Source organism: Homo sapiens, chromosome 12, assembly GCF_000001405.40.
Source record: "Homo sapiens chromosome 12, GRCh38.p14 Primary Assembly".
Lineage (NCBI taxonomy): Eukaryota > Metazoa > Chordata > Mammalia > Primates > Hominidae > Homo > Homo sapiens.
This window is the reverse complement of record NC_000012.12, coordinates 78853040-78880485: the sequence shown is the minus strand read 5'-3', so window position 1 is coordinate 78880485 and position 27446 is coordinate 78853040. Positions and strand designations below refer to the sequence as shown.

At 35.5% G+C, this 27446-nt stretch overlaps 1 protein-coding gene across 8 annotated transcripts in view, besides 1 other annotated feature; it reads right to left on the bottom strand.

Moving 5' to 3' along the window:
* The window catches only part of SYT1 (synaptotagmin 1), a 588027-nt gene extending 571523 nt beyond the window's left edge, over positions 1 to 16504 (bottom strand). For 7 of the 8 annotated variants that reach the window (NM_001415940.1, NM_001415943.1, NM_001415939.1 and 4 more), the window contains exon 1: positions 15377 to 15712. The gene's annotated coding sequence lies outside the window, so the exon portion shown is untranslated. Of the gene's footprint in view, positions 1 to 15376; positions 15713 to 16150 lie in introns of those variants that run through there. The other variant, NM_001135805.2, reaches the window with a different exon arrangement.
* Positions 16869 to 16928: a silencer, noted in NCBI's record as "silent region_4680". NCBI's record gives its function as "represses an Ori minimal core promoter by ATAC-STARR-seq in GM12878 lymphoblastoid cells {active_cell/tissue: GM12878}" and the evidence as "EXISTENCE:reporter gene assay evidence [ECO:0000049][PMID:35858748]".

Here is a 27446-nt window from a genome sequence, read left to right as displayed (position 1 = left end):
CTAATGATCAAAGGGAGGCAATAAATAAATAAATTTATTTATTTAAAAACTGTATTCAAAGAGTGATAAGTGATAAGAAGAAAGATGTTAGGGAAGTGGGAGGAGATATAAATGTACTACAAGACTGGTCAGGAAAGACCACACAAAAATTGAGTAAACACACAAAAGGTTTGAAGAAGTAATCAAAAGAGAATACAGAGGAAGTGCATTCCATCCAGTGGGAAGGGGAAGAACAAAGGATCTGAGGCAGGAATGCAATGTAATGACTAATTACTATTTGTGAGGCTCTGGTCCACATGGATGAGGAAAAATCATGCCTGTTTTGTTGAAACTCCAAATCTGGTTGGGGAAGAAGTTACTAATCAAATAACCACCCAAATAAATACATAATCATATATAATGATAAATTGATAAATTCTGTAAAGGGAAAATACAGGTCACTATGAGGAGGTACAATGCAAAGTTCTGAGTGATTCTGAAGAGTCAAAAATATCTTCCCTGAATAGTTGATACCTATATTGAGATCTGAAGGCTGCATAGAATTTAACCAGATAAAAGAGAAAAGAAAGCACTCCAACATCATAACCAGCATGTGTTAAGATCCTGAGGCAGAAAAAAATCTGGAATATTAAAAACCTGAAAAAAGGCCAATATGGCCAGAGTATCAGAACAAAGGAACAATATGATAAATGAGGCTGGTGAATACGTAGGGCCAGATAATGCATGGACTTGAAAGTCAAGTTAAGGATAATAGATTTGAGAAGGCAAGTTGATTTGAACTATGGTGCTGCAATGTAGACAGAGAAAAGTAAACATATTCAAAAGATATTTATGAGTTAAAAATTTTATTAAGACATATATTCTGAATTTGAGATTAAAAATGAGAGACATATGAAACAAGTATAACTCCCAGGTTTCTAGATAACAAAATTAGATGAATGGTGCAATCATTCACCAAGATTGAAGACACTAGGGAAGGACTACATATGTTGATGAAGATGAGTTCAGTTTGAATGTGGTGAGTTTGAGATGTCTTTCAGGCTTCTAAATAGATCTGCCATGTAGGTGGTTGCACTACGTGTCAGGAATCCTAGTAAGACGGGAATGATTTTGTTCAGCTTCCAAATTTGCCAGGAGTGCTGGCCTTCTGAACCAAACACATATCATTGTTGGAGACTTAGATTTTTAAAAAGAGATGCTTTCATTAATGAATGAACTGAACACCTAACATAACCCCAAAGTCACTCAGAGTATCTTATGCATCACCTCCTATATAAAGCCATTGCTGTTTCAGCTGTCATTCACTCTCATGTGTTTGCAGAAAGCTTTGCATTTTCCTGATGCAGCTTATCTCTTCAAATACTTGCCAATATCCTCTTCTTCCAAGCCTGGGGTGGGAATGGGTGTGTTATACTTCCTATATCCTTGTAATTAGGAGCCACGTGACTGGGTCTGGCTAATGGACTGTGAGCAGAAATTTTATGTATCTTTTACAGGGTGAGAGTAGATAATTGCTGGTAAGAAATTCTGATGTTCTTTGCCCTACTGCAATGAATCCTTAAACTTTACATTGAGATGACAGTCTTATAAGACACTGGGGCACTGGAGCTCTCAGAGTCTAGATTTTTGAATGACTATGTAAATCAGAGGACACTCTCCCCTATGTACTCTCCAAACACTCTGATCCGCAATGGCTATGTGGTATGTCCAAGGAATAAAGCTTTCGTGCTGAAGCCCTTGAGGCTTTTGTACTGTTTGCTACCACAGAATATCCTACACAATGCTATTTCACAGCTCACATGTGAATGAATCATTACTTCCTTATGGTTTCACTCTTAACTAGATGGTACTCAATTCTTTTATGGGTGGCTAATGGTGTCTTGGAGTTTGTTTGTGTACTTTAACTATTTTTGAGTAGATTAATGAATGACTGAAAGATGAAAGACATACTCTTCAAACTTATTCACCACTATGAGAGTAAACAAATGTTAGAAGGGAAGCCAAAGGCTTTATGTGCTGCGTTACTCATATGTCTAATTTTCTTGCAGCAAAATGCCATAGTCAATTACAGACCTTCACATGTTAGCACTGAAAGGTGTCAGAGAAATCATTTAGTAAAATTCCCACATTATGTACTTGGTGAAGGATTGACAGATTTTATGTTATTTGTTTGTTTCTTAATTTGAATACAAAACTCTAAATACCTATGCTCAATCTTCATTGTCTATTTTTTCCATAGACTAGTTCTCCACTCACTATTTTAAAGGAAAAGAGGTAATCCCTTATTCCTTTCGTGTATCCTCTTCCGATCTACAAGAAAGTTTATCCACACACACACACACAAAAAAGAGTGCAATATATCAACCCCATGACAACCAAAAGGAAGCTTAAGAGCTATTAGCTGAATCCCTTAGAAGGTAGCCAACTGACGTGAATCTGCTTAAGAGTGGCCAATAACAGCATTGGTGCTAGATTCATTGTGGACTTAAAAATAATGGATTATAAATTCACACAAAATTACCTGTATGTGAATATAGCAAGAAGATTATACTTTTGAGGACAGGTGTGGTGGCTCATGCCTGTAATCCTAGTACCTTGAGAAGCTGAATCAGGGAGATCTCTTCAACCCAGGAGTTCAGGACCAGCCTGGGCAACATAGTGAGACCCTGTCTCTACAAAAAATACAAAAATTAGCCAGGCGTGGTGGTATGCACCTGTAGTCTCAGTTACTCAGGTAGCTGAGTTGGGAGGATCATGTGCTTGCTCTCCAACCTGAATGACAGAGCCAGAATCTGTCTCAAAAAGGAAAAAAAATACAGGCTGTTATACATTGTTAGATTGTAATATAAACTTAGTTGATCATGACCAGTACTTATTTAATGAAATAGAAAAGGATAATTGAAAAGTATCAGAAAGCATAACAAGTAATATTTCATAGAACTTTTGCTAATAGTGTGTGTATGCATACACTAAATTTGGATGCCAGTTAAAAATGTTAGAAAATATAGAGTTACTGGATTTACTCATTGATATGGTTTAGCTGTGTCCCCACCCAGATATCATCTTGAATTGTAGCTCCCAAAATTCCCACATGTTGTGGGAGGGACAGAGTGGGAGGTAACGGAATCATGGGGGAAGGTTTTTCCCATGCTGTTCTCATGATAGTGAATAAGTCTCACGAGATCCTGTGGTTTTATAAAGGGGAGTTCCCCTATACATGCTCTCTCTTTGCCTACCGCCACATAGGACATCCCTTTGCTGTTCCTTCATCTTCTGCCATGATTTTGAGGCCTCCCCACCCATGTGGAACTGTGAATCCATTAAACCTCTTTCCTTTATAAGTTGCCCAGTCTCGGGTATGTCTTTATTAGCAGCGTGAGAACAGACTAATACACTCATTCAATAAATATTCTATAAAATATTCACTCCTTAATATCTTTCAGGTACTGAAGAGTCAGAGATGATAAAAATGTCATCGCAAAATTCTGAAAAACTGGCATTTACTAGAGGAGCCAGGTGCATTTAAAAAATCAAAATACACTATATATAATATATAATATATATTATATATAATACATATAATATATAATATATATTATATATAATACATATAATATATTATATATATTATATATAATATATATTATATATAATACATATAATATATGATATGTATTACATATAATATATTATATGTATTATATAATATATAAATATATAATATATATAATATACAATATATAATATATAATATATAATTATATTATATAATATATTATATAATATACTACATGTGTGTATATATACACACATGTACACATGTGCACACGTGTGTATATACATATGTGTACACGTGTGTATATACATATGTGTATATATTTACATGTGTATATGTATACGTGTGTGTGTATATGTGTGTATATATATACACACACTCATATATATAGTATAACATAAAATATTTAGGATACAAAAGAGCCTGATGGAGCAGAGTAGTTTGGCAAAAAAAAAAAAAAAAAAAACACCTCCATTTTCAAAACATGTTATTATCAGAATATAATGTCTATAGAGAGCATTAGCAGAAAATAAAAGAGGAACATTTATGATTGAGGCTTTAATTATTACTTCATTACTGTGTAGCAGATTGCGTGGTAATGCAGTCTCACAAAAGTTAATATGCCTTTGTAGGCAACTGGTTTACTATCATATAGCAACCTAGGTAGACTTAGGTTATTGAGTTCTTGAAACCAGGATATGAGACTAGATAGAGGAAAAATAATTTCCGGTTAATGCTACAAGAACTGTGTTGTCTAAGTGATAATCGACACAAAATGATTTGTTTCATTATGTTTTCTGTGTTTATTTACTTTTGTTTCAAAATCTAAATTAGAGTTTTGTAGGATATAATCAAAAATATACTCAAAAGGAAATTGCATTGACAAGTGTCATGAATGTGATAAAAAGTTAAGGTGTTGACTTAAATTTATAGGAACAATAAAACTGGAGTTAGGCCATGTATTTAATTTCTTTAGAAATGAGGGGAAAGGGAAAGAATTATTAAGATTTAAGAAACGGAAGATATGTAGAAAGTGTCTGAGGAATATACAGAATAAAAGAAAAGCAGCTACTCTTCCGAAGATAAAACTGGAGTATAAAAATACATGTCTACAAGACATCTGAGAATACATTTTAAAAGTCAAAGTAAAAACAGTGTATATTCTATGATTGTCGCCATAAAAAATGTAAGCATATGAACACACACTGGAAACATATTACACAGAAATGAGACAGCATATATTTAAAGCATGGTGAGATTATACATGATTACACTGTTTTGAAAACTTCTTAATAATGTTTGCAGATTATTTTTAATTAAAATATTAAGGCACGGGAAACACATAAAACCAGTGTCTTTATACCTAAATAGACCAAACTGTTCCCATTGTAGAGCTTCTGTACTGGTTGCTTCATTTGACCCCAGTGCTTTCCCCTGATAGTTACAGGGCTGGCTCCTTTTCCTTTTGGTTGATCACATTCCCCACTATTGCTCTGTTTTATTTATTAGCCTATTTTACAATTTTATAGTATTTATTATATAAGTACCATAGCAATGTTTTGTTGTTGTTTTTAATGGTCTCTCTTCTTCCTTAGAATGTAAGCTCCTACATGCAGGAAACCTGTCTACTATTTTTATTTCTGTATCCCCAGCATCCAAATGGTGCCTGGCATATAATAGGAACATCATCATACTTACCGAAGAAATATATTATTCCCAAATATTTCCTCTTCAATTCAGAGTACAACAAAGATAAAAATGTATAATATATTTGTACAAATTGATAACGTTTAATCTGTAGCATATGTAGGTTAAAACTTTATAAACTCCTTGAAATAACCCCTCCTTCCTTACAAAACTAATAAAAGTTTGAAATTCTCATTTACACGCAAGTGGCTCTGCAATTTGCTGTTCTTGGTTCTACTAAGCTTAATTTCTTCAAGTCTTGTAAAGGACTTTCTTCTTATCTTTGCAATGAGATGAATAAAGACTATCTACCCTTCTGCATTAAAAAGTGAGGAAGCCAAACAGAGTAAGGCAAGGACATAACTAGAATTAAATAACAATCAACTCAGCCAATATCCTCTTATAGGTAGACTTTTCACACTGGTATAATCATACCAGTCGTTAAATTATTGAGTACTAGTGGTACAGTGGTAGGAAGGAGAATAGGCTTGGTTCTGACCACATGGTGTGAGCTCCCATTTCCACCTATGACTGAAGCCAGAATATTCATGAACTTTATGGTCACATGAGCACCAAAATCCCTTTTCTTGCTTAAGCATTTTGAGTCAGGTGGCATTTTTACAAGTGAAAGAATTTCTGAAAATAAAAAAAGAGAAAGAGGAGCAAAGGTGGTCAAATCTACCATATAGTAACAGGGCACCAGACAATTTGCAAACATTATTGCATTTTCATTCCTGGGGAACTATCTTATTGAAGTTCACCATTCCAGAGTTGGCTATCTGAATCCAGCTCTCTAAGTTTCATACTTTTATCCTATTGCCATCATGCTCATATTGACCTAACCTATAAAGTGGATCAATTTGCCTATCACTATTTAATCTCTTTTGGGTACCTCTACCTCTTTGCCACCATCTATTCTCTTCTTCTGACATTTATGAGTTTATTGATTGTGTGACTACCTATGATTGAGTATTGGCTCTGTAAATAGGTAGCTTGGGTTTAATTCTACATCTTACTACATAATGTGACCCTGGGAAGTTGCTCAGTTATTCTTTTTCCACTACTTTCTCACTTAAAAATTATAAACAAATTAGCACAAATCCCAAGGAGTTATTGAGAATATTAAATGGGATGAAGCATGGAAAGTACATAGAAAAGTGCCTGACATATTGTAAGAAACAATATGAATACCTGTATTCATTCAAATATCTCCCTTAATACCTATCCTATGTTTCATATAATTTTGTATTCTTTCTATAGGCCCTTCCCAACTAAAATTCCTGTTTTCTTAAATCAGATTAGCTACAAACACACTTATATTATTCCACATTGCAATGGTATGGCTATTAGCTATTGCTCGCAAATGTGTTTCTTAACACAAAGAATTGCCAACTGATAGACTTCATATTTGAATTGAATAATAATTGTGGTTTGGATATGTTCACTTAGAGCAGAATGTTTAACCATTCTACCTTGGAATAGAAGATAAAAAGTATCAATAGATTCAACAACTTCCACTAATGTTATGTGAAGGAACAGCAAGAAGGTGTGTATGAATATCAATGAGGAGAATAATAAGAGATAAGTTTGGAGAGTTAGTGATAAAGCTACAACACTTATGATTACAATCACTTCTCATTGCACCCTACTTGGTGGCTTGGAACTATGGAGTTTACAAATAAGAAAACAAATAAGGTGACTTATCTAACATCACAGTGATATAGCAATGACTAAAGGCCAACTTAGCCTAGTGACTCAAGCTTAGTGACTTTTCTTGTAGATTACAAAAATGTCCCTTGAATAATTTTAAAACACAAACTCAATTTATTTTGCAATTAGAGTCACAGAAGAAATAATGGTATATCAAATCTTTCTTATTTTTTCAGTGGGATAAATAAAGACTATGTATCTTATACTCAATAATGATGTTAGATAAGCAAAAGCAAACTAGTTCTTACATAGTAAGAGAATTACAAAACATGCTTTTTCCTGCTTTATTAAGTGCTGAGGCAGTAAGTTCCAACAGACAAAAAATATAAGAGGCTTTCTAAATGTGTAATTGCAGGCAAGTAACAACACTTGAGTCTCCTTCATTGCATCTTTAAGAGAGAGAACCTCTTCATTATCAACATCAAACAAGGCAATAAAATAAATAAACAAATAAAAATACAGTGCTGCACGCCTGTCATGAACACAGTAACTTGTTACCATTGCAATGGCAAAATAGAAAATAAAGAAAAACATGCCAAATAGTACATGCCAGTTTTTTGGACTCTAAAACATTATTCTGTCTCTCTGCAAAAAGTTACGGTTTAAAAATTATCCGCAAGCCCTTTACATGCAAAATTTTAAAAACATTCATATGATGACACATTCCATTTAAGTGTGCCAATTACATAAACAAATTAAAAGGCTGCTCCTTTATTTATCTATACATATATTTTGTGAAGCTAACCTAAAATGTATACAAACTAAGAATTACATTTCTTAGTTGTTGACACAAATTAATTCAGCTGGTGAAGATTACTATGGGTCAAAAGTACTAAACCTTCATTTAGTGATTCTATAGGAAAATATTTAATTAAGATACAAAAAAAGAAAGGAAAGACAAAAGAATGAAGAAAAGAAGGAAGAAGGGCAGAGTAGGAAGAGAAGACATGAGAAAGGAATAAAATGTACAGAAAGGAAGAGAACACAAAGGAATTCCTATATCATTCTTATAACCAGAGAACTGAACAAATCTTTCCTATTCAGGCTGTGAGGTGTAATATGCTTCGATGCATACAGGTCTAAAAGTCCAGAAATCAAGAGAAATAAAACTGTTGCTATGTGTTCAATATATAAATGATGAAACAGATTCTCAAAGGCATAAAAGAACTTGTCTCATCCACTTTTGCCTGAAGGAGTCAGCTCTCTCCTGTCATTAATATTCATTCTGTGTTGTCTAAGAGTGGTTCAGAAAGTATCTAAGATTCTCCAGAAAAAAAACAAGTCGTTGGAAACTTGCATATCAAGTACTTTTTTACAAAACAATTTAAAAGCAGGGCAGTTTTGTCAATTTAAGGGTATGTTGGCTTTGTACTGAAATGTCACTTTTTGAATTATCAGGCTCAGATGTAGCTCAAGGTGAATGCTTGGCTTTTTAAATTTAACATTATAATTTAATAAAACCACTAAAAATAGGTACATTATTTGTAATGTCATATTGTTAACTAAGCTTTTAACAGAAGAATTTCCTGTACACAGACAGATAAAACCCTAGTACTTTCAGGCATAGAATGATCTGGTTTATACATATTTAAATATAAAAACTTGTGGCCTCGGATTCTGAACATTGGTTAAAATAGAAGAGTGATGTTATGCTATTTATAGAAGAGGTCTCGGTGCTCTAGAAATATGCTCTAATGCCCAATAGTTCACTTTATTCAGTCTTCAAATCTGATGAAAATGCTAGGGATTAGGCAGAAAGCCAGCCTTGTAAACTAGGATCTGGCAGACACTCCAAGTCAGAAACAGATTTCAATGCTTTGCTTCCTTGTCTTTTTCCTGAGAAACTGTGTCAACTTTTCTTCCTAATAATCTTGATAACTCAAAACCTGATTGCTAGAGCTCAACTGTCCCTTAATGAGTTGTTATAGCACTTGTCCTTGCTTCAAAGGCCAATAAATCATTTGTCTAAAAATCTTTCTAGAAAAGTTTTTTTTCCCTCAAAAATAAGCAGGTAGGCAGTTTCCGTATTTCATAGGAGCTAAGCAAGGACCATGTCCACTGTTTGTATGGCATAGGATATTGGAGACCAGTAAGTACATCATGAGGGAAAAAGATACTCAGTTAGCTCTTTCTCCTTCTCAAAGAGAGAGCAGACAATTCAAAATTGATATTTTAGTGAGTGTTGCCTGCTGCTGTAATGTTATCTTATTGTTTATACTTGCAGAAACTCTCACATACAATTGTGTCTGAAAAATACATTATTAATAATCTATCCTAAAAGCAAGCTCGTGTGTGATGTTTCATAATATCCAGAGATTTTGTAGAAAAACAAATTGTCAGTTATCTGGGATAATGACCATGAAGCATGTGCTTATTTAAGGGTCTCCAGACACAGATGGATTTTGAAAGTATGATTTGAAACACTTTTTAAACAATCCTTTCAGCTTTATTCTCAGGTGTTAAGTTAAAAAAATACTATACTGACTCATGGTTTAACAGCTTCATCTTTTGCTTGGATCACTTGTGAGTAAACAAAAGAAATTCCAAGAAAGAAAAGCTTTTTCATAAATTATCCTAAAATTATATAAGATTCAGTATCGCATTTTAAAAGTGTTCACGTAAGTACAGCTCTGCATGTTTTGACTGAGTATTCATGTCCTTTTGCCTTCATGTTGATGAAAAAATATGTCAAGGAATCTCAAAGCAGCAATCAGTCAATCCAAGTACCTGTTTCCTACCCACAGTAGGCATGGAGTGACATGCAAGGAGGATGGCCCAGCGGAAATGAGCCTCAAGTAAAACAAGAGGCTGTTCCCTGGAGGCCACATCATGAGAACTTTCACCAGAGTTTTCAGGTGGTTTGTCTGCTTTCCTTTCTATTCTCAAGGGACTGAAATGATGGCTGCTGTCAGGGAGCATGATGGAAGAGGACAGGAGACTATATACTTCTCATGTAAGCAATTGCAAAATAAGAATGTTTACATTTCAAACTCTTCAAATATGTTTGCATTTGAGTGCATATGTGCATTTTATCTTTGATTTCAAAAGAGAAAGAAAACATTTATCTATCACAGGAAATAAGACACAATTACTTTTACTTATATAATACCCTTTGATAAAAAAATATCGGAACTCTAAGCACTTTAAAATTATTAATAAAGCTATATTTCACAAGTACAGAAATAGGTTCTTTGAGGTAAGATATGACCAAGTTTCAGTACCATACCTGAATTTAATTAAGTGGATATTTCAATCAGAAATTAATTTCTAACTGAGGCACTTAGCTAAATGTCTTTTTAACAGTATTTATGATTGCCGTAGCATGGTTGCAAGCTAGTATCTGTGATGAAATGTTGTCCAACAGGGCTGTATGAACTCTTGGAAATAATATCTTAAATTATATCTTAACCAAGTAGTTTCACCGAATTCTTACACTAGTTTATAGGCCATTCCCGTTCTACATGGAAATTCCCCAGCTCTCATTTTGTACAAACAGCTAGAAATAGAAGGCGTGTTTTATATCTTCATCTGCTTTATGATTTTCTAGAGCTCCTCTTTAACAAAATGCCTTTTTATGTGCATAAGTAATAATGTTAAACATAAAACATACTATGTGTGAGACATTTATAGGAGTGACCAGTATGCTTTCTTTGTATTTCCGCAATAGCAGTAACCAAAAAAGATAAACTTTGACCTCTCATTTGCATTATTAGTAAAGTATGGAAATCAGCAATCAGAACTTAAGGCTTAAATAAATATAAAAATTAGAGCAATTACAGAAATAATTCTTTAAAATATTTGTTTTGCATGTGTCAAAGACATGCTAGAAAATTCATTTCTAACACTACCATAAAGGTGTTATTTTACTTTAATGTAGGTTTTAATTTCTTTTGAAACTCTCTTAAATATTGCTTTTTTAAAATAATGTAATGTAGATGCCATTTTAAAACTAGGATTCTTTGCAATAGAATCTCTAATATTATATTTTAAATTGCAGAAATAGCATCTCTAGTGTTTACCATTTCTACAACATAGCAATATATTTATTGTCCACTTTAAAGAAAAGTTTTCCTTTTTTAATAAAACAAAAGTTAATTTTATTGATGTAGACAGTAAATGATGGCATGCTCTCTTCTAATAGGTAGCATACATTTGCACTATAATTTTAAATAAGTTTATTTTGTATTGCTAGTACATATGAATGGAGTGATGTTCACATACCCGGCTACCACAGTTTATCTTACAGTCCATATAAAACTAGCTCCTCAAGAACACTCTTAAAATGACCAGCTGAAAGAAAAATGCTGGTTATCTTTTTTTTTGGAAATGTTAAATTTCTCCTTAAGGAAATGGAAACACTTAGTGGAGAAGTTTAAGTCAAGTTTGCAAAAAGACTGAAAAAATGTTGATCATTTCTTGAGGAATTTAATGAAAACATATCAACCCACATTCTCCCACCCAATGCAATGATAATCATGCCATTCAATTACATAAAAAATTAAGAATGTTTACCTTAATGCAAATATTGAAAGAAACATCTGCCAAAAGCCTTAGAAAGACAGAAGTTTTATCAGCCATCATATCTAAATCATGTAAAAATATGATTTCAACTTATTTGTTACCTGTATAAAGAAGTGCATCATCTTGTACTGAGAGTTTTTTCAATCATGATACATATAAAAATCATTTCTGCCCAAAGCCATGGAACCCCATTTTAAAAGAAAAAAACTCTAGGCTCTCATTAATATTATCTCTGAGTATTCCCAGACTTTCAACCAAAGAACCCTTAAAAGCATTCCTAAGACACCGTCATCTTTCTTTAAATGGTACTTTGTACATGAATAGCCCCTAGTTTCAGCAAATTATAGTCTACTGTCCATGAGTTTCTAAACCTTTTTGAAAAATTTAGATAATTTCGGAATATATATACACACAAATATATGCATATGTATATACACACACATATCCTTAAATTCTAGCTGAAATTATTATGTATATTGCCATATACTTTGTCTCTTTTTAAATGGCTTTGGTCAATTTCAGTGAAAAAATTTCAGCTAAAATCAGCCACGTCATGTATTGAACTTTTGGTACAGATATATTTATGATAAATAAATTATTTAAGAATTTTAAAATATCACAACTACATCAGATATTTACTTTTTAAAAATATTATATTTTCTGCAGAATGCATGCAAGACGCATACCTACATTACACAATGGCAGAAAGTCTAACTTTGGTATGGGTTTTTGGTAATATTAGACAAAGATTTGTTCCATTATATAATCAAACTGTTTTTATTTCTTGTTCCCCCCAAATTACTTAATTATTACCATTAGGAAAATAAATATTATGTTTCAATTTGGAATTAGTGATAGCTCTTCTTGGTTGTTGCACAAACTGGAAATCATAAGAACTATATTTCAGGCTCGTATAATTGTCTGCATTAAGTGTGTGTTCTTTAAGATTAGATGGCTCTAACTGTTTTGGGAATTTTCTCAAAATCAACTTAATATACTGACATCAAAAGTGATGAACTGATATTATGTTAATGGTGTTATTAGGCTAACAGGAAGTTCAAATTAACTTTCAGATTTCTAACATATTCTACATTTTATTTTATTAATCTTCCAGCTCATCTTGCATATAATTAATACAAGCATATAATTAATACTATTTTTTAGTTTCAATTTCAGTCTAATATGCAAATCGTATAAATACAATGTTATTCATTTTCATATTTGTTGATTAGAACTATCTGATAATTTGACCAGATGAAATAACTAATATTCTCCATTATGAAATGAAGTTCAAAACTACTCAGCAACAACTCTCAATCATGTGGTATTTTTGTGAAATTAGTATTTTAGGATTTTCCCTATATATTAGCAGTCTTCAATTCTGACAAAAATACCTCGAGGCATAATTATCATATTTACTCTGAAACATTAATGAGATTTACTAAAATATCCTGTCAAAGGGAGAAAAAACAAAGATTGTATGAAATTGTGACATTAGACTATTTTGTGGGATAACAAAGTAAGAATTTCCTATAATATATCATGTAAGGTCTCTCCCCAATCCACTCACTATATATTGGAATTAGTTCTGATTTCCAATACACAGATATTGAATTTTTTAGAAGTATTTGAAAAACTACTCATATCCATATTTTTAGATGTTATTTCTATAATTAACATTTGTAAAGAGTCATGAAAATAAATGTCACAAACCAAGCCTAAATTTTCACATATTCCTAAGACAGTGGAGAAATGAGAAAACAAAATCTTAATTTTCTCACATGAAGGCAGCTGGCTTCCTTTTTGTACATCTTTTCATGTCTAAACTTGTTAATTCAGTTGTACATACATGTGAGGTAATTAAGTGATTGTCCCTTTGTCCTTGTAACCAAAAGGTGGCACCTCTAAAAACCAGAGTTAGCTTTCAACAGAGACACTATTTTTTTTTTTTTTTCATTTAAATGTCAAAGCCCTAGAAAGAAAATCGTTTTTCGTGACTTGGTAATTCTATTTAGGGAGAGATCATTGCCTCAAATGCAAAATGGTTTGGAAAATAGTACACATTACACTGATGGCAAATGAATTCAGCTCTTCTCTAAGTTGGTGTGTAAACTTATATATTAAACGTACGTAGTGAAAAAATACTCTCTGAGATACAAAATTAGTGTGGAAGGTCAGACACAGTTAAGATAGAAGATTCTCTTTTCTTATATCAAGTGGAGTTCTAGACAAAAAAAAGTAAGACTCTGCATTTCCCCTGATAAATAAAAAGAAGTGTTTTGTATACTAACATCTGTGGATTTCTCTGTGTTCAGGTAAGACCCACTTGGAATGCTTTCCTATTACATCAAACGAGGCATTTCTCTATACCTCCTTCCATCTGACAGTACTATCGCTTAGCTGTCCCTGAAGAATAATAAGAAAAGAAAGCTTATATCCCCAATGATGGAATTAGAGACTGCTGAAGCTGCTGTAAAGGCTCTGTCCAACAAGTACCATTTACTTGACCTATTATGCAGGCAGCCAGGGGCATGTTGGTGTTTTGATATATTTTTCTTTCTTTTAACAAGACGTTACAAAAATGTTTTCCCCTTCAGGATTTTTAAAATTTAGGGTATCTTTCTAGCATTACTTTCTAAACTTAGTTCCAGTACAGGAGGATTCTTGTCCAACTGAGCCTCCATGTGCCTTCTAAAGGGAGTGCTGAAATTGTATAAACATCATGTTTACATCCATTAAATATTGTCCTATTAAAAGAAAATAAAGCCAGGCATAAGTTTGGTATCCAGACAATAAAATGCAAATAGTACAAAGGTAGAATAAAGTGAAAATTCTACACAAATGTAGCTTCCATACAAAAGTTAAACAGTTGCTTTATTTCACGAAAGGGTTAATACTGGAGAAAGTGAATATCAACATGTACACAAAGCTAACTAGAAGATTAGCTTTCTCAAAGTAGAAATCCAAGCCTCCCTATAAAATTGTTGTCCCTTGCAAATGTTTTGAAACTTTACATTTTTTGATCCCCCAACAACAGGCCATACCAAGAAACCTCAGGAAAGTAATAATCTATTTTAATTGTTTTTTTTTTTTTGTTACTCAAGAAAGCTTTCAAAGTTCAGATATTAACACTGATGTGCAATACCAAATTGTTAGCCCCACAGGACAGATGGAAACAGGAAAAGTCAGATGGTTGGCACTCAAAAGCAAAAGCAATTAAGCAGTTGAAAGTGGGTTGGATTGTCGGTTTATTTTTGTTCCATTTGAACGAATCAAGTGAGAGACATAGACTCTTGCAAGGAGGAAATCAAGTCAAACTTGACGCTTCCTCTCTCTGACAGCCCAAGCTGGACTGGTTGTCTACTCCCCTTATTCAGTTTAATTGCTTTATGTGCTCTGATTTTCGCAGAGCTTGTATTCTATCTTGTTTACGTTCCCCCCCCCCCCCATATCCCTCTCCCCAACAGAAAGAAATCTTTCTCCTTTCTTCACTCCCCCTCTTTCCTCTAAGAAAGGCAATCCTCTCCAGGAGGAGAAAGAAACGCTGTGCGTGCTTAGGGTGGGAGGAGGGCGAGAGGGGAGGTGTGGGAGAGAAAGAGAGAAAAGATTGAGATTGGGGGTGGGGGACGGAGGAGAGAGAACAAGAGAAGGAAAGAGGAAGCAAGAAGATGGGGGATGCCCAACATCAACTCCAGGCTCTAAATCACGGGCGCTGTGCAAAGTGCTTTTCCAGGAGATGCACATGTAGTCTCATATTTCTCACAATAGGCCACCCGGGGATCCCTCCCTAGGTCTCAGACTCCCACCACTAAAACCCAAGTGTATCGAGAAGAAAATCTTTGGGATGGATTCGAGCAGATAGGCACCGCCGAGGTGGCCGCGCCGCCAGTCCCGCTTCCTTACCTGGAGGGCGGACCGGGAGGTGGTGCCGGGTCTCGGTCCCCAGTGCTCTCCCCGCGTGGACCGGCGCGAGGCACACGCGTACTCTCGCTGCCTCCGCTCTTGGAGGGGCAGCCTGCAACACAAAAGGGGTGTGTGGGTGTGGGTGTGTGGGAGGTTTTCCAGGGCCACCAGCTGGTCCCACGTGGTCGCCCCCACCCTACACACACCCCTTCGGGGCGCCAAGCCCCCCTCTCGGCTGAGCACCACCCTGGGGACTTGCCCGGGGTGCAGCCTCAAGTTGCCGCTGCTAACTGCTGCTGCCGCTGCCGCTGCTGCAGGAGGAGGTGGAAAGACACTGGGGGCAGTACTCGGTCTAGAGCATCCCCACACTGCAGCTTCTCCAGGAATCCCTCCAGTGAGGAGGCGGCCGCCCATCATCTCCGAGCCCCAGCATCCTGATTGGCTCCACCTCGGGTACGCTGCGCCAAGGAGCCAATCCCCGCGCACTAATAATAGGTGGATCCGTTCAGCCAACATCGCCCATCCCAGTTCTGTTAGTGTCTCTCCATCCCCACAGCGGACAGGGACCTGGGAAGCGGGGTGGAGGCGGGTTGGGGGAGGGGGTGAAGTAAGAGGGGAACAGATCCCAAGGAGACACAATCAAGGGCGTCTGATAAAACCTCTAGGTAGACTCAGGAATGCCCCACAAGCTGTTCAGCAAGCAGTATGCACAGGAGAAAGAGAGCATAATACAAAGCTTTTTTTTTTTTTTTTTTACTCTCAATCAAAACCTACCCTGATACTGAGCATGCCCAGACTGCAACAGCGACCTAGGAGTTTCGATGTGTGTGGGTTCGCCAGCTGTGGGTTTTTGAAAAGCTGGGACCGGGGACAGGAGAGGTAGAAGTTTGTCTTTGGCCATTTAACCCGGCGGAGTTGTGAAAGCTGGGTAGGGTGGGGATGTGAAAGGGTTCCGCACAAGTGTCCTCAAACTGAGCCGCGGGGAGGTGGCCCACCTGGCTGCCGGAGGCTCATCATGCTGTTCTTCTGGGGTTCCGGGTTGGAAGCGGGGGCGGGATAAGCTGAGCTTTGCTGGAAGCCTGGGGACTTCCCGCGAAGGGTGCGGTGGAGCCGAGATGCGGGAGAAGCAGCTCCGTCCCATAGGTGGGGCCGGGAGCGCGACTCCACCCATCAGCGGCGGCTGCCAGGCCGTGGAGAGTGCACTGGGAGTTTCCATTGCAGCGACCAATAAGTTTGTACACTTGGGTCAAGTGCAACATTGTTGGAGATGCTTTTTTATTTTTTCATTTTTATTTTTTGCCACCTCCCTCCCCCATCTCTCTCGACCCCTTGCCAGAGCAGTGACGACTAAAGCATAGATTCTCTCCCTGCTTCCTCTCTTCCCAGCTGAACCGTTCTGCTCGGAAGTAAGAAGCTTTTCTCTTGTGAGGGCGGTGGTGACCTGATTGTCTCTAAGCTCTCAGGCAATTTATAGCTTGGTAATACCGAAATACCGAACAGGAAGGCTCAGCGGGTGGGGGAAGGGACCGCGCGCCAGGCTAGGGGCGGGAGCGGAGCCCAGCTGGGAGAGGGGCCCGTCCATTATCTGCTCCACAGGTGAAAGGATTTCAAAACGGAGAGAACTATTTCCCTTTCTCCCTCCCTCAACCTCGTTTAAAGGCCTTTGAACCTCTTATTTGTTTTATTTAGAAATCCTAGCATTTTGTGTAAACTTGATCAATAGCTACAAATGAGAACTCTCCTAATTGGGTTCTTTATTTTACTGAGAAGATTATCTTGGCATCTCAGGTAGGGAAATAAATAGCTATCTCAATTCCCCAAACCCATCCACTTTGAACTGGAGTTTTATTAACATTGGTGTGCAAAGGTAAATGTAGCAAGAATTCAATTAACAGTAACACATTTCTTCAAGTTTTTAATTAAATCTCTTCTACTTATGTAATGTTTAAGATTAAGATCCTTATTCTAAGTATACGGGAAAAGAAGGCAACGTGATATAAATATATCCTTCTAAGTGACAAACACTTGTATTTGGGCTATGCTTGAATAATAGGAAGTTTAACATTAGAGGTAGAAGTGTGAAAATAATGCACCCCAGACTTGTGACTTCATGTAAATATTCACTTTCCATTTTCCAAAATAGTCTCCAAACCTTATTTTAAAATCATTTCATAGTTGGAGAAATAAGATAAAAGAATTTGGTCTAAATTTTATTTCAGTTATTTAGTGAAGGAGAGGAGGAGGAGAAGACAGAGAAGGAAGAAAAACGACAGGATAAAAAGTAGAAGAAGTTGGAGGAGGAGGAAGGGGAGGAGAAGGAGGATGGTGAGGTGGAGGAAAAGGAGAAGAAGGAGGAAGAGAAGACGAAGAAGAATTAAGTAACCCTGTAATTTTGTTGTCCAATAAATATCTTTGGATGAGAAGATTATTATAATATCCACTTAATATAGATCTTTATTCTAAATATATGCCTAGCATACTTTCTAGATTCCAGTGATTAAAACTGGCACATTTATCCTATTTACCAATAGCTGCATGTAGAAAAAAAGTATGCTTATTTTAGAATAAATTAGTCAATAGAATACAAATACAGATTTTAAAATTTTTGCTCCAGACACTGATTTTGTCATTAATATTTTAGTCAATTTCTTTTCCTGTTTACTTCACATCTTACCTAGCAATCTTTCTATTTCAGTGGCCAGAATCCTTGGCAACATGAATGGTATCAGAAGTTTGTAACCCAATGTTCCTTGAGGGAGACTGCAGGTTAAAATAAGAAATGGGCTTTACATGTATATTGTGCTTAACTTTAGAATTGATAACATTTTCTGTACATAAATAATAAGAAGACTCTATTTATATGGTGACTGTAGCTATACTAAGATTTTAACTCTCCCTCCTATTCCTAAATTCTCTCCAAGCTCTTGGGAATGTGTTGAAGACGTCCTCCTGGATCTACTGGGCTGACACAACATTATACTTTGCCGCAAGTGTGTATCATCTCTTTGCCTATTGAAGCAGACTCATTTTTATTAAAAGGAAGATCGGGTCAATTGTTCTGTAGAGACAAAGAGAGAGCTCTTTGTCACTCTTATCATTCCATTTCTTAAGTACTTTTACATCTAGAGTACTTTTGCTGTTGAGAATTAACTTATCCCCTGATTGTATGGTATTTTAAAAATATTATTTTCAGAACTTTTACAAAATCTGTTTAATGTTTTGTTTCCTCTTTCTTCGTTAAAAAAGTGTTATTAATTTTTCTTCACATTTTGCTCTGATCAAGATCTCATTTTCAATATTTTCTTTATTCCTTTTTTATTGGATTCATCTATTTACTACTTTCATGCTTCCTTTGCCATCTATTTTAGGCTACAGGATCAGAATAGAAACTAAATTGGATTGGGGCACTGAGGAGGAAAGTGTGTCTTATGGCAAGAGTGGGAATTAGGGACATTAGAACTAGAAATTCATTAAGTGGAAACTTAGCCAAGGTTTCTGTAAACCACAGAAAGAATACTTAACGTGAGAGAGGTATCAAGAAAATTCTGCAGGTTGTTGGAAAGGCCAGAATTACCTGGTTGATCAATGATACTAAAGAGTTACATTTAATCCGGCTGGGCGCGGTGGCTCACGCCTGTAATCCCAGCACTTTGGGAGGCCGAGGTGGGCGGATCACGAGGTCAGGAGATGGAGACCATCTGGCTAACACAGTGAAACCCCGTCTCTACTAAAAATACAAAAAATTAGCCCGTCGTGGTGGCGGGCGCCTGTAGTCCCAGCTACTCAGGAGGCTGAGGCAGGAGAATGGCGTGAACCCGAGAGGCGGAGCTTGCAGTGAGCCGAGATCCCGCCACTGCACTTCAGCCAGGGTGACAAGTGCGAGACTGTCTCAAAATAAATAAATAATAAAAAAAGAGTTACATTTAATTAAGACTCATACATCATTAAACTTTATATCTTTAGTAGCCACAGTAGTTGTCTGGTAAAAGCTATTTATAAATATCATTACCCAGGATTGTTTCTTTAAAAAAGAAAAATAATTGACTTCTCTAAATTTTTCTATTTTTTTGTTTATTTTTTATATAGATGCAGATCTTACTATTCTTTTCACTTTATATCTGTGTTTCTCAAGATACTGACTTTTTGGTCTCTTTGCAGGACAGATAATTAATTAAATGTTTTCTGGTGTCAGAATTTGGGTAGAATTCCAGCTTCACCACTAATTGGCTATGCCACCTTGAAAAATGTACAAAACCCCTCCAAGTCTCAGTTTTGTCATCTAAAATATGTACATAAGAATACAACATTTATCATTAGGTTTTTTTTCTGGATTAAAAAAAGCAGTGCACATAAAGTGCTAGTTCCAAGCACATAGCAAGAACTTAATGACTATTATTATCATTTTATCATTATCATTGCTGCTACTTCTGCTACTACTATTTTTTTTTTCCAGATTTCTGGGTTATTGGGTTTCCTCCCATCATCTCATCCATTTAAGCCAATAGTGAGCCATAGACTCCTCACCTATGAGCATTAAAGGTAGAAGGGTGTTAATTCATGTTATAAGAACTTTTATTTATTTTTTGATGGGAGGAGTCAGTGTCTAACTCTGTAGCCCATGCTAGAGCGCAGTGACTCAATCATGGCTCACTGCATCCTCCAATTCCTAGGCTCAGGTGATTCTCTCAGCTTAGTCTCTTTAGTAGCTGGGACTACAGGTGCATGCCACAATGTTGGGCTAATTTTTTTTTTCTTTCTTTCTTTTTTTTTTTTTTTTTTTGCCATATTGCCCAGGCTGGTCTTGAACTCCTGGGCTCAAGTGATCCTTCCACCTTGACCTCCCAAAGTGCTGAGATTACACGTATGAGTCACCGCGCCTGGATACAGAACTTTTTTAATACGTAAAATGACAACAGTCATCTGTCTTGCATGTAGTAGTCTTACACTGTAATCATCTACGAGATGAATAATTTAGTTTTTAGGGATGGATACTTAAGCTTTTTTTTCATAAAAACATTTGTTTATATTATTCTTTCAAATTAAGAAATATCCAATTCTGGTGGCAAAAAAAAAAATGATGAACACTATTTTGTTTTGTTTTGTTTTGTTTTCTAGAAAATGCTCTTGAAGACAGTAGAGCCATCATTTTTATTTCTCTTCCATTCATCTTTCTCAAGATCATTTGTCCTGGGATTACTGCTAGTGATTTTGTAACCAATTGGTAAAGAAAAAACATGAAGGCTCCTTGTATCAGAATTAGATTAGAAATTAGCTGTGTTGATTTTTATACTGAACATCCATGGAATTTAATAAAGAGACTCTAGAAATGGGAGAAGAAAAAAAATGAATACTGATGGGAGTCAAGTCTCTGGAGCAGAGAGTTAGAGCCCCATAATTGAACGATGAAACTTCACAATTTCCAAAGAAAGGAAAACAAAGAGCTAGTAGTTTTCTATGTGGCTTTACAAAAGCCTTTTCTTAAAGATGTGGCTAAGAAAGTATTGGAAATGAAAAGGAGGACAGTTACTCAAAAAGTAATATACTGTGTCAGGCTGTTGAGGTTAGCAAGGAAAATATCATTTAGGTGAATCTATCTCAGGGGCAAAATAAAAGTAGTTTGAGCTAATGTTAGCTAAAGGTCTTAGAAAGGAAACAAATGATATATGTTTCAAATACTCTATGATAAAAGGAATATACCGTGGTGAAAACTAGTTTGCTAATAAAGCAAGGGCAACATTAAAGTTTACATTAATTCCCTTTGAAATCAGAGGAAGGATTTCTATCTAATTGAACACACAGAGAATTATAGTTCAGCTGCTTCATTCAACTTATTTGAAAAGTGTGTCCAGAGAGACTAATCGAGTTACCAAAAGCCATAGAGGGTTGAGTGTGAGTGGGAGAAGAGTCTGTGTTTTCAACAAAATAAAACTATTTTAATAATACAATTGTGAAGAGAAGGATGGTAGACAATCAAAACCTCTACTTTGAAATTTGATTCTGCAGTGGTTCTTAGTGTTCTGATAAGGGCTGAAAAATACATTTGATCCTTTCCGGGACACTTCTGGATGGCTTTTTGCAGAGCGGACCATATGGGTTTGCTTCAATATTTTATGCAATCTGTACTACTTGTTCCTAGTTCACCTAATACTAAATAAAGCACCATAAATTGGTGGACTCCTAAAGGAAGGTTCATTTATTGGACATTGAACTAATAAAAAGGGTAAGGACACCAGGTTTTCTGCCTCTGGCCCCAGCAGAAATGTCTGTCATGGACCTGGGCATACTTCCATTTGTATATTTAAGTCTTTTGGATATTGAAGACATGCTAGAGGTGATAGGGACGTGAGTGATTGTTCTCTGTCTGTGGGCATGCTTTCACTCCAGGTGGCGGGAACCTACTATGGGTGCAAAAAAACGACATCTCCTGGACCATAGATGTCCTGGATGTGTGTCCCCACATCTATCCTAAGTAGAACTGAATAACTAGATTTGAGTATCAGGAAGCCAATGGTATAAATAAAAACAAACATTTTTGCAAAACCTGAGACACAGAAATGTTAAGTAATTTTTTGAAGATCACATGGTGGCTGACTCCCCCTCTTCCATGCCTTCAAATGCCATGGCTTGATAATGTTAATAGACAATTAAGATATATTAAAAATAGCTGTGACTATTTCAAGGACTACCAGTCTAGTTGAGTAGACTCTAGAAATACTGAGTAACTTGAAAGATTTATGTAGGAACAGTTTGAATCACATCTATTAATATAAGTATCACATCACCACCAAGGGAAATCCATGAAGCTAGAGTAGGGATATTTTTCCAGTCACTCTCTTTAATCAATGAGGCGACTGAGTTTTAGCTATGGGCTTAAGAAATCTTAGAACTTCATTATGAAATAGTATGCATGCTGTAAAGGTTAATAATAAAGCCACCAGTATACCCACAATCCAGCTTCAGAAATCAAGTATTAAGGTAACATTTGCCATCACCTATTTCTCTCCCCCATCTGATATTTCTCCCTAGCTGCACAACCAAGGTAACTACTATCTTGTGTTTACCATTATACTGCTATTCTTTATAGTTTTACCATGTATATTAGTTTTACCTGTTTTTGATGCTTTATACATAGAATCATGCTTTAATATGTACGTCTGACACTTGCTTTCTTAGTGAAAGAGTAAAATTTGAGAATTATTTATGTAACTGAAATTATTTTATCAATTTTTTTTTTTTTTTTAGACGGAATCTTGCTCTGTCATCCAGGCTGGAATGCAGTGGCGCAATCTTGGCTCACTGCAACCTCCGCCTCCTGGGTTCAAGCGATTCTCCTGCCTCAGCCTCCCAAGTAGCTGGGATTACAGGCACCCGCCACCAAACCTGGCTAATTTTTGTATTTTTAGTAGAGATGGAGTTTCACCATGTTGGCCAGGCTGGTCTTGAACTCCTGACCTCAAGTGATCTGCCCGCCTTGGACTCTCAAAGTGCTGGGATTACAGGCGTGATTGTGTTCAATTGCATTACTTTTTTTTTTTTTTTTAGATGGAGTCTTGTTCTGTTGCCAGGCTGGAGTGCAGTGGCGTGATCTTGGCTCAGTGCAACCTCCGCCTCCCAGGTTCAAGCGATTCTCTTGCCTCAGCCTCCCGAGTAGTTGGGACTACAGGCAGGTGCCATTACACCCACTTATTTTTTTTTTTTTATTTTTAGTTTCACCATGTTGGCCAAGATGGTTTTGATCACTTGACCTTGTGTTCCGCCCGCCTCAGCCTCCCAAAGTGCTGGGATTACAGGCGTGAGCCACTGCGCCCTGCTGCGTTAATATTTTAAACCCATTCTTCTGTCTTTAGATGTTTGCATTATTCTGATTATTTTATATTACATACAATGCTGTTATGAACATTGTCACACATACATAAGCTTCTCTTGGGTAAGCTTCTCCTGTGGTAAGAATTGGATCCAGGTTTTGTAGATTGGAAATATTTATAATTTAAGGTATTTTGTAAAAACAAAATAGCCCCAAATTAGGCACTGATGTTTATATTTACATGGAATAAGAAAATAAATCACAACAAATCTAAATAATTTTTGTCAGTGTGGCGGATACCAATGATATATTTTTGAGATTTAAATTTATATTTTTCTTATACTGAGAAATTTGAGAACAATGTCACATATTTATTGGCCATTCATATTTCCTTTTCTGTGATATGCCTTCACAGATCTTTTGCCCATAATCTATTTATTTTTAAATATTTCCTTTCGATTCAGTGGAATTTTTGATAGTCTGAATATTAATACTGCATTGGCTACTATATACTATTGATATCTTCTCCCAGCTTGTGGCTCATATTTTGAATTTTAGGGAGGTTTTTTCTTTTCATATGAGAAATTTATTTTAGTGTAGTCCAATTCTATCATTTTTTCTTTATATTCTCTCTAAGTTAATAAAATTTAATCATTTTATATTTGCTTTCCTTTTCTAAAAATAATTTTTATTTATGCTATAAGACATAATCTAATTCCATTTTTCTACACTAATGATCAGTTTCCCAGCAGTTATTGAGAGCCTCTTCTTTCCCCATCAACTTTCAATTCTAGCTCTATCATTTTTTCATATATGCACATATCCGTTTCTAAAAGTCTTCATTCTATTTGACCTCTTTATTCCTGCATTAATAGCATACTGCTTAATAATGTAACTTTCTAATATATTTTAATATCTGAAAGAGCATTTCCCCACAAATTCTTGCTTCTACTTCCAAAATGTTTTGATTATTCTTAATCTTTAACATGCTCATATATATTTTAGAGTCCCCTTGTAAATTTCCAGCAAAACGAAAACCTGCTTGATCTATTGCTATCATTTATTACTTTTTAAAATTAATTTTGAGGAAAATTGGCATTATTTTGACTTTGATTCTATCAATCTGGCTTATAGTTTCATTATTTGGTTCTTCCTCTAAGCATTTCAATAAAAATTTAATATATTTTCTAATAAAGGCAAGGCACATTTTTTCCTAGATCTAATTTAATACCAATTTTAATGTTGTAAATTCTACTATTTTAAAACTTATGTTTCCTCATAAAAATGAAATAAATTAACTTCTGTAGAGGGATTAAGTATCTAGCAATTCTGTTTTCTAATTAATAATAATATTTTGCAGATTTTAACAATTTTCTCTAGAGACAAACATAAAATCGATGAAAAGTAGCTTTTGTTTTTTTCCAACATCTATCATTTTCAGTTTTTATGCTTACTTATTGCATTGGGTGGATTATCCACTTAAAGTAAGGACTCTTATTATCTTCCCTTTAAGAAAAATGCTATAATATGTTACCAATAAATCTAATGTTTGCTGTAGGGTTTTAGACAAAGTTATTTATTAGGGTAAGGAAGTTCTCTTCTATTTTTGGTTTACTTTTTAATTATTGTAACCATGAATGGATGATGAATTTTGTCTAGGTTTTTGTTTGTTATTTTGTTTACACATACTGAGAGGGCAAGTTTCTATCAATTTGTTAATGTGGTTTACATGATTTATATCAACGTGTATTTTTGTTGTTGTTGCTTTTGAGACAAAGTCTCCCTCTGCTACCCAGGCTGGAGTGCAGTAGTGTAATCATAGCTCACTGCAGCCTTGAACTTTTGGGCTCAAGCAATCCTCTTGCCTCAGGCTTGCAAGTAGCTGGGACTGTAGGTGTATGCCACCATGCCTGGCTAATTTTTTAGTTTTTGTAGAGGGAGGGTTTTGCTTTGTTGCTCAGGCTAGTCTATAACTTCTGGTCTCAAGGAATCCTCCCACCTAAGCCTCCCAAAGAGCTGGAATTACAGGCATGAGCCACTGTACCTAGACAATGGGTATTTTAATTAAATTACATTTGCATCTTTGAAATAAATGAACTCTAATATAATGTAATATTTTTAAATCAATTACTGGATTTCATTTGATAATATTCTGTTGAAGCGTTTGCATTCCTATTGTCTTCTAAGATGGTACTATAATTTTTCTCTTGAGCTATACTTGCTGGTTTTGATATCAAGGTTACTGTAGCATCATAATAAAATATATTGGGCATGCGTTCTTTTTCCTATGTAGTACAATGTTTCGCATTTTGCCCTTATGGATGGTTTGTTTTGTGTCTACTGTAAGAAATCTTCCTTGACTCCAAAGTTGTAAAGACAATTTCCTGAATTTTCATCTAAAAGCTTTGTTTGTTGCTTTTAACATTCACTTATGTACTCCATCTGGAATTACATTTTATGTATGGCTTTAAGTTGGGGTCAAGATTTTTTTTTTCAATGTGAGTATCTAGTTGACCCAACAGGATTTATTAAACTGATCCTTTGCTCATTTCACTGCAGTAGCAATTCTCATCAATCAATATGCAACAGGTCTTCTTCTGTTAATAGAATCTATATCTTGTTCAATTGGTTTACTTTGTCCTTATGACAATATTGCACTATCTTATTTAACATTGCTGCTTCATCATAAGCCTTGAATTTGGTAGTATGTTTTCATACTTTGTTGATTTTTTCCAAGACTGCTTTGACAATTCTTAGTCCTCTGCATTTCAATATGCTTTTTAAAATTAGTTTCACAATTTTCACGGAAAAATACCTGCAAAAAGTTTGTTTTAGTTTGGCTGGGTTCATTCAGTTTCTTTAATATATGGATTTAGAGTTTCAGTCTATAGTTAGGGCCATTAATCTTTGAAATATTTCTTCTGCCCACCTTAAACCTATTTTGTTTTTAATAAAGATTTCACTTATACATATGTTAGACTTCTTAATATTCTCACAGTTAACCAAAACTTATATATTTAACTTTTTCTTTTTCTTTGTTTCAGTATGGGTGTTGATAATTTTATAGCTATGTCACTTTATACACTGTTCTTTTCTTCTCAGTATCTTATTTGATATTTAGTTAGCCTATCATTTTTCCTTTTAGATAGTGGGCCTTTAACTTCAGAATGTTGTTCTGTTTCCTATCTTCTATTTCTTTCTCTGTTATGTGTTTGTTTACCTTTAAATGCTTGAACTTATAATAGCTCTTTTGAAGTCCTTTTTGCTAATTCTATCATCTCTGCTATTTCTGTTATTTTTCTATTAACGATTTTCCTCCTAATCATAGAAAGAAAAATACAGGGCATTGTGAATATTATATTGTTGAGCACCTGAGCATTGTTGTGTTCTTTTGAAATGTGTTGAATTTTATATTGGCATGAAGATTTATTTATCTAAGATCAACTTGTTCATTTTAAGGTTTATGTTTTAGCTTCATTAGAGTGCATCTAGAGTAGCCATTACTATAGGATTACTGTAGCTTTCTTCCTAAGGCATGACCTCTCTGAGGTCTCCACTAAATGCTCTGGGTGTTCAGCAAAGTTCCTCCGCTTGAGTAGGTCAGAAACTGATTATTTCTCTGCCCTGTGTGAGCTGTTGAATTCACACCCTCATGAAAGTTCCCTTTTTCCCTCATGTGGATCTTAGTATTCAGCCAAAGAGTCAAAGTAATCTCTATGCTGACTTCAGGATCTCTGTTCCATCTCTATTTGGTGCCTTTTCCAGTACCCTTCCCTGTTAATTCCAGCTGCTTCAGACTGTCCAAAATGGTCTCTTTTGAGTCAGACAAACCCAGAGGCAAACTGAGTTTGCACTGCTTCAGTTTCTCCTTTCTAAACCACAGTCCAGAAAGTGCCTCCAGGCAGAATTTCAGGATGGTTGTGACACTCTTTTCTTTCCCTATTTTGGGGAATGCAGTTATGTATCTCTTGTCCAATATTTGAAAGCAGTTGTTTCATATATTTTGTCCAGTTTTCTAGTGTTTTTATGAACAGAATGTAAGTTGGGAACTTGTTATTTTGTCATGGCTAGAAGTGAAAGTTTTTCATATTTGCTTTCATTTTAATGAATGTTTTCACTGGGTTTAGAATTCTGTGGTCAGTTATTTTCTTTCAGCATTTAAATATTTCATTTTATTGTTTTCTGTTGAGAAGCAAATTATCTATTTTTTTGTTCTCAAAATATAATATTTCTTTTTCACTCTGATCACTTCTGAAATTGTCTGTG